Source organism: Homo sapiens, chromosome 7, assembly GCF_000001405.40.
Source record: "Homo sapiens chromosome 7, GRCh38.p14 Primary Assembly".
NCBI classification, from domain to species: Eukaryota; Metazoa; Chordata; class Mammalia; order Primates; family Hominidae; genus Homo; species Homo sapiens.
In genome coordinates this window covers 108833859-108842826 of record NC_000007.14, presented here as the reverse complement: position 1 = coordinate 108842826, position 8968 = coordinate 108833859, and the positions used below count along the sequence as shown (strand labels likewise).

Genomic DNA, 8968 nt, shown 5'->3' with positions numbered 1-8968 from the left:
GTGAAACCATTTAAGAATATGATGTGGAAATACTTGTTTTTATAAATTATAACAATTCTGTGCCTCTGTTTATTCAACTGAAAGTGTGGATAATAATATCTACTTATAATGTATGGTAAGAAATAAATTAGTGTTTTCAAAGTAATTAGAATTGCGTCTCACACAAAGAAAGCTCTACATTAGTGTTAGCTATTATTATCATTATCAATATTTAAAATAAGCAGACCTTTGACTTAGCAACTTCATTCATAGGAATTTGTCCTAGAAACAAAGGCAGATCTAGGCTTTGTGAGGCCAGAAACTTACGTAATTTTGGAGGTCCTCTTTAATATAGCAATGTGAATTGTATTTAGCTAAGCTCATTTCACTGTATTAAATAAATTATACACTTAAAAATGGTTAGTATGGTGAATTTTATCATAATTTTAAAGAGTCCAGTTGGGAAAAAAAAAAGGGCAAGAGATGGGACCATCAGAGAGCTCACTCACTGTCCATCCACATGTACACATAGAGGAGGTCGCGTGAGCACACAGAGAGACGGTAGCTGCCTGCAAGCCGAGAGGAGAGGCCTCAGGACATTATGTTAAGTGAAATAAGCCAGGCACAGAAAGACAAACTTCACATGTTCTCACTCATTTGTGGGAGCTAAAATTTAAAACAACTGAACTCATGAAGATAGAGAGTAGAATGATGGCTACCAGAGACTGGGAAAGGGCAGTGGAGTAGGAAGGGGGCAATGAGGATGGTTAATGGGTAGAAAAACATAGGTAGACAGAATGAATAACATATAGTATCTGATAGCACAAAAGGGTGATTACAGTCAACAATAATTTGTTTTACATTTTAAAATAATTAAATGAGTATAATTGGAATGTTTGTAACACAAAGAAATGATAAATGCTTGAGGTGATGGACACCCCATTTACCCTGATATGATTATTACACATTGTATGCCTGTATCAAAATATCACATGTACCCCATAAATATACATACCTGCTAGGTACCCATAAAAATTTTTAAAAATAAAATAAAATAAAAAGGAGAGAATAGTCCTCAGAAGAAAATGACCTTGCCAGCACCTTAATCTTGGATTTTCCAGTCTCCAAAAACGTGAAAATTAAATTTCTGTTGTTTAAGGGAAAAAAAGTGAATATGTTTAATGGGAAAATAAAACAAATTAGAAGAGTTTTGGAAATCAGGTCCTTTCTTTTGTCTTAAGATCTATTGGGAAAATTTACCAGAATTGCTTATTTCAATGTGCTTTCTGGTTGAATCCCGGTATCCTCCACCAAAAATATTCTGCAATTCTCAGTGTTCAGAGATCCTGTGCAAGTGAGGGGTTCTGAAGGCTTAGCTTTAATACTTTCACAAGAAATCTACCTTTGCCAAGAAAAGTGCTCACAGTGTGTGTAAGGTTGTCCACTATAACATGGCTTATACCAGTAAAAAACAGGGGAAAAAATCAATACCTGCTAACCGACAGCACAGCATGATGGTCAAAAGAGTAAACTCTGAGGGCTCCACTATTTGTTGCTGTTTGACTTTAGGCAAGATACTTAACCTCTCTGTTTCTATGTTTCATTATCTGTAAAACGGGATAATAAGACTCTATGTCATTAGGTTTTTATGAAAAGCCAATGAATTGATATTTATAAAGTGCTTAGAACAGTGCCTATTATCTGATAAGTGTCATTTAAGTATAAAATAATTAAAATTCAAACTAGAGACTAATTAAATAAGTCCGTATATTTATACAATAGAATGCTATACAGGCAATAAAAAGGGAAGAAAAATTTACATTAAGAATGCTATACAGGCAATAAAAAGGGAAGAAAATTTACATTAAAGATAAGTATTGGTATTTCAAGCTGTGTGTAATAAAAGGAAATTGTAAAACAACAAAATGTAATATAATACCAAGTATGGGGTTAGAAGAGAAACTTGCTTCTACACTACTTGTAGGTAGAGTGGCTCAACATAATACTCTTTAGAGATTTTTTTTGGTCTAATGTGGGAGAAAATATATAAACAATTCATTTGAGTACAATGTTCATAATTATGAAAATTTAAAAAGAAATGGTCCCATAGTGTTTTGGTTTTTTGTTTCTTTACCTACCTCCCATAGAGAAATGGAGTTTCTGTCCCCCTTCTTGGATCTGGGCTCTGTTACTGCTTCATCAATAGAAGAGGGAAAATAGTGACACTAGATTAGTTTCCAGGCCCAGGCCACAAGAAACTGGCAGTTTCCATGTTCTGCCTCTTGGTGTACTAGCTCCTGAACCCAGCTTTGCTCTGAGGAAGCCTAGGCAACATGAAGAGGCCCTTTATAGGTGCTCTGGTTTACAGCCTCAGCTGAGGCCCAGCCAACAACCAGCATCAACTATCAGACATGTGAGCTAATGTGCCTCTTGTTGATATGAGCCCCAGCCTCCCAGTCTTTCCTTGTAGAGCAGAGGCAAGCCACTGGCCACGTTCCTGACCCCAGACATTGTGGGAAGTGGAAACTGGTTGTTCAATGCCATTATCATTTGTGCTGATTGTTATACAATAGATAACTGGAATACATATATTTTTTCCCACGATCTGAGCATTTTGTGTGCTCTCAACCAAAGACAGTCTCTTCTTAGCAGACTATACTTTCCACTTCCAACCACTGAGACTACATAGTACAAATAGAGTCAATGAGTCTACAGCTATAAATACAGCCATTGTATCTTCCATTTTTGCTCTATGATGATCTTTCTTTCTGCTATTTACATACTAGCCAACAAATTAAATCCATAACAATTGTTGAAGGTTTGTTAGTAACAGCACTAGACCTGCCCTCCCCCCACATAAAAACTGTCTCATTGTTGCTTAAAACGCAAGTCTGGTATGTTCAAAGAGTTTTTGAGGCTGGGCATGGTGGCTCATGCTTGTAATTCCAGTATTTTGGGAGCCTGAGGCAGGAAGATCACTTGAGCCTAGGAGTTCAAAACCAGCCTGGGAAAGATGGAGAAACCATGAATCTACAAAAAAAATTCTACATATATATATATATATATGTTTTATATATATATATATGTTTTATATATATATACACACACATATATATATACACCTCCAGGAGCAGTGGCTGGCCCCTGTAGTCCTAGCTACTAGAGGCTGAAACAGGAGGATCTCTTGAGCCCAGGAGTTCGAGGCAGTGAGTTATGATCACACCACTGCCCTCTAGCCTGGGTAACAAAGCAAGACCCTGTCTCTAAAAAACAGAGAGAGAGTGAGAGAGTTTTTGAATCAATGGTAAAAGTAATCAAGAAAGGCCTCATCCAATAACTGAGAACTAATGGAAGTGCATGGATCTAACAGAAGTGCACAGAACTAATGCAATGGAACTAATGGAAGTGTCACTACAATCTGGCAGGATTGGGCAACAATTGCCTGAAATCATTGGAAAGCTGGAGGAAACCTTAGCCAGAGGCATGACGTGACTCTGGGAGATTAAATGAGCATAGAAAATCAATTGCTTATGTATGACCTATGAATCAATGTACCTCCATATGGATGACGCCCACATTTTTTTGTGTTGATTCACTCAGAACTCCCCCTTCTAGGAACCTTAGCTCACTGTCCAATGATGTGTGTGTGTGTGTGTGTGTGTATATATATTTTCTCACATGCCCTTTAATATGCATCAAAAATGCATGGAAGCATGTGTAAGAAACTCTTAATAATAGTTAATAATGGCTCCTTCCGGAGAGCTGGGAAGCAGGATTTGGGAAGCAGATGGTCTGTGGGAAGGGTAGGGAAACATTACTTTTTAATTTTTTTTTACAAGAAGAACGTATTGCTTATATAGTTTAAATGAAAAAATATCAATTTTAAATAAGTGATTCTAATTAGAAGCATGGGGTTTATAACTTCTCTTCGTGGCTTTCTGGCAGATAGCATGCCATTATGTTTTATCCTGGCAAGCTTTCCTCTATTCCCTCTCTGAAAATGACAGTACTGGATAGTAGGTTGTACACATTCATTTTTAACGTGGAATGGTTATGAAATGTCAAGCCTTTTCACTTCTCCTTTATATTATTTAGCTCCAGAGATTTTCAGGTTCTAAAAATAAGATAAACTTCTCTGCTGAGTTTATGTATCTTGAACATGTTTTAAGTATACAGTAGTCATTTGTGAAACGTGTATCTAAAGGTGGACATCAAAACTGTATTTGTGATAATCATTTTTCTTTTCATGCTATCTCAGAGTAATCCCAGGAAATGTTCTTTCATGATCAAAGCAAATCACTGCCTGGAAAAAAATGCACTATTTTCAGTTAACTCTCCTACTAGCAAGTGCCAAACGCATTTGAAGACAGAACGTTTCACAGTAGAGAAAGTTAAGTACTGCACTAAAAAGCAGCCACGAGATTACTAAGACAATCTACACAAGAAAACATGTGGGCTGACTATACATGTTTATTCAGGGCAAAACCACCATCAGTGTGCAGAGCTTAGCTTTATATATCTCACAACATGCCCCAGAGAATAACAGAGACTCAGAAAAGACAGAAGGAAAATATGAATGGCTTCCAACTGTCAAAACATGCAGTTGGGCAGCTATATTAATCGTGATTTAAAAGCCTTGTAACATATTCTATTTCAATGGTATTCTATTTTTCCTTCTGTGCAAAGGAATATAGTCCCTATAAGAAAATAGACAATTTGCACTTGAACTAACTTTTTGTGTTACAGCCCTAACCAAGGACAGTTATCATAGTGTTTCTATCTCAGCAGATAAGAATTCCTGGTTAAGAAAGCCACAAACCACACAGGAAGGGAAAGTCATAAACATAAACTCATAAAGTGGCTTATTTTTAGAGAAAGATAGTAATGACAGACAGACTCTTCCTTTCTGCTCTTCCCACCTGAATTAAAATCAACTTAATTATTGCTAAAAAGGCACATGCTTAACTATTGGAAGAATGAAAGAGGGAAGGGAAAACATATTTCATATCTTTTATACTTCTTATGTAGTTGCTACTAGTCATGGCTCCAAAAAGGCATTTCTCATTTGCAATAGGGAGCTTGTCCCTGTTATTATACTGTCAGAGCAGTAATTTTTGAAGTGGGATTTGGGAAGAAAACATTGAACTTCCATTTATTTTATTCCAGAAATAAAATGGGAAATTAAGCTTTACTAATATTTTCTGTTGAGAGAAACTTGGTTCTCACCTTCAGTCTATATGTCAAAGAGTCACGTGTCACATATGCCATGTACAGGATATTGAGAAAAGGTCAATTCTTCCCCAGCCCACCCTGTTGGCTGGTTCCTTAGCTTTCAACATGTTGCATTCAGTTAAAGATTGTGTATGGCTAATTAAATAGATTTACAGATTATTTTTATACTAAACTAAATCTTCTCGAAGTTGTCAGAGGGCTTTACAACAATCTCTGCAAAGAAAGCCAGATTGAAGATAAAACTAACAATGCAAGGTCAAGAAAAAAAATGACAGAGTAAACATTTCTATTTTTAGTTTGAGTTCTTTGCCATGTTGTAAATAAAAATAACAACGATCTAATCATATGTGGCCCTGTGTCAGCCCCCTGAAAATCTGAAATTATTCAAACACTTCCATCTACTTTCTGTAATAATGAAGTTCTTCCTAATTGCATATTGTTTCTTGAGATACTAACTAGAGATGGTCATGTACATATATATACATATATATATATATAGAGAGAGAGAGAGAGACAGAAAGAGAGAGAGAGAGGGGGTTTTTTTTGTGCTGATAGATGTGCATACTCAAAAATATTGAGGCCACTCTTCTAGAGAATAGAACAAGGGGCAAGAAGAGATCAGTTTAATTTAAAAACAAAACCAAACAAAAAAAAGCACATGCCAATTTTTAATTTCTAGTTGATTTACTCTGAAATGCTGACCAAACTCATTTCCTAAGGAAATACTCATTCAAGTACTGACACATTAAAAGCATTGTTGGATTTTTTTTTAATTACTTTCTTTTACTAACTTTGGCCTACCCACCTCCAGAGCCATTTTCCTGAAGTGATTAACTTAAGAAATGCATGAAGACACACTAGATTTCAAGTGAAAATACTGATTCAGTTAAATAAGTGAGTAATTTCCGTTATACTTAAGTAGTTTAAATGCAAATGATCCATTTTATGTTTTGTTTCTGAGTCTTCTTTTAAGAGAAACATAGATATTATTTCACAGTGAAAGTGGAAAAGATTCCTGACAATATTAACATGTTCTAACAAGGAAAACATTTGCAAAGACTACTCCTGCTCCTTTCCTAACTATACAGCTGGAAGGGACATCAGAAATTAATCATTCCAGTCTCCTCATTTTACAGATGGAAAACTTGGAGCATGGCAAGAGGCAGCTACATCAGCAAGACTGCAAAGTCTGTTAACCAGAAAGCCAGGATCTAACTCTTCCTGACTCATGGACCAATCACTCTCCAACTTAAGGAGAATGAAGCAAAACCACTATGCTATCCTTATCAGGGAATTTACTCAAAAGGTTTTTTGTTTCTTGTTTTTAAATTTTTTGTTTCCAAAAAGTTATTTCAGATACAATTGCTTTTCCTAAAAGGATTGCCTTCCATGGAATTTAAAAATAAGAACAAAGCAAAAGAGGCCGGCTGTGGTGGCTCACACCTGTAATCCCAGCAGTTTGGGAGGCCAAGTCAGGCAGATCATCTGAAGTCAGGAGTTTGAGACCAGCCTGGCCAACACGGTGAAACCTCATCTCTACTAAAAATACAAAATTTAGCGGGGGTGCTGGCACACACCTGTAATCCCAGCTACTTGGGAGGCTGAGGCAGGAGAATCACTTGAGCCTGGGAGACAGAGGTTGCAGTGAGCCGAGATCTTGCCACTGCACTCCTGCCTGGGTGACAGAGTGAGACTCCATTTCAAAAAAAAAAAAAAAAAAGAGAAAGAACATAAAAGGGGAAGAAAAAAAGCTTTAGGATATAAGACAGAATATATTAAATGGGGTTTTTAAGTGATTGCACAATTGACTGGTTTGGCAGTTAGGAGCTCAGCACATTTTCATCTTCTATACGAAATCCCAGTTACTGTCTGGGAAATACTAAAATGTAAAGGAAGCATATTTGTGACAGTTTTACCCAGCATAAAGAATATAGTATACTCTACCTCTGTTTAATGTGCTAAAGAAAATTGTGTAGGTTATCTTTGACTTTGGTGATCCAGGGACTTTTTTTGTATGAAGCATTTTTGTCTTCAAATATATTTGGCAATTGTGAGCGGCAGAATTAACCAAAAATAATGTATTTTCCAGGAAGTGAATTTTGATTATGAAAAACTTATCAAGACAACTTCACCAATCTAAATGAACATTTTCTTAAAATAGACAGTCTGGTTCATTGGGCATGGGAACCAGCATTTTTAACTACCTCTAATTCTGATATAGAAAAACACTTTCAAAAACACTGCTTCTAAGAATCAAGGACAAAGACCATATGACCATATGATCATTTTAATAGATGCTGAAAAAGCATTGATAAAATTCAACATCCATTTATGATAAAAACTCTCAACAAACTGGGTGTATTAGTTTGTTTTCATACTGCTATAAAGAACTGCCTGAGACTGGGTAATTTATAAAGGAAAGAGGTTTAATTGACTCACAGTTTAGCATGGCTGAGGAGACCTCAGAAACTTAAAATCATGGTGGAAGGTGAAGGGGAAGCAAGGTGCCTTCTTCACAAGGAGGCAGAAAGGAGAAGTGCCAAGTGAAGGGGGAAGAGCCCCTGATAAAACCATCTGATCTTATGAGAACTCACTCACTATCACAGAGCAGCATGGGGGAAACCACCCCCGTAATTCAATTATTTCCACCTGGTCTCTTCCTTGACACATGGGGATTAGGAGGATTACAATTCAAGATGAGATTTGGGTGGGCAAAGCCTAACCATACCACTGGGCATAGAAGGAACATACCTCAAAACAATAAAAGCCATTTTTGACAAGCCCAGAGCTAACATCATACTGAATGGAGAAAAATTGAAGGCCTTTCTACTAAGATCTGAAACAAGGATGCCCACTTTACCATTTTTATTCAACATTGTACTGGATGTACTAGCCAGAGCAATCAGGCAAGAAAAACAAAGGGCATTCAGACTGAATGGAAGAAGCCATATTATTCTTGTTCACACATGATATATTACATTTAGAAAACCTAAATACTACGCCAAAAAACTGTTAGAACTGATCAATGAATTCAGTGAAGTTGCAGGACACAAACTCAATATACAAAAATTAGTAGTGTTTCCATACACCAATAGTGAACAAACTGAAAAACAAATAATCCCTAAACTCCTATGGAACCACGTAAGACCCCAAATAGCCAAAGCAATCCTGGGAAAAAAGAATAAAGAATAAAGGTGGAAGCATTGTACTATATAACTTCAAAATATACTACAAAGCCATAGTAACCAAAACTGCATGGTGCTGGCATTTAAAAAAACATATAGACTAATGAAACAGAATAGAGAACCCAGAAATAAATCCATGCAGTTACAGTCATCTCATTTTTCCACAAATGTGCCAAGAACATACATGGGGTAAAGGGCATCCTTTTCGATACATGGATTTGAAAAAGCTGGATAACCATATTTAGAAGAATGAAGCTAGGCCCCTATCTCTCACCATACAGAAAAATCAAATCAAAATACATTTAATGACTTAAATATAAGACTTGCACCTATAAAACTACTAGAAGAAAACACTGGAGAAACATTTCAGGACATTGGTCTGGGCAAAGACTTCTTGGGTAAGACCTCAGAAGCACAGAAGGCAAAAGTAAAAGTAAACAAATAGCATTACAACAAGCTAAAAAGCTTTTGCACAAAAGAGGAAACAATCAACAAAGGTGAGAGATGACCCACATAAAATGGGAGAAAATAGTTGTAAACTATCCATTCAACAGGGGATCAATAATCAAAAT

General features: G+C 36.3%; 1 long non-coding RNA gene across 1 annotated transcript in view; it reads right to left on the bottom strand.

The window, feature by feature from the left end:
• Nucleotides 1-1477: 1477 nt before the first annotated feature.
• LOC107986836 (uncharacterized) overlaps nucleotides 1478-8968 on the bottom strand; it is a 57428-nt gene continuing 49937 nt past the window's right edge. Inside the window, exons 3-4 of the long non-coding RNA XR_001745322.1 lie at nucleotides 2118-2170; nucleotides 1478-1586 (exon numbers count right to left, since the gene is read on the bottom strand). This is a non-coding gene — a long non-coding RNA (uncharacterized LOC107986836). The remainder of the gene's footprint in view (nucleotides 1587-2117; nucleotides 2171-8968) is intronic.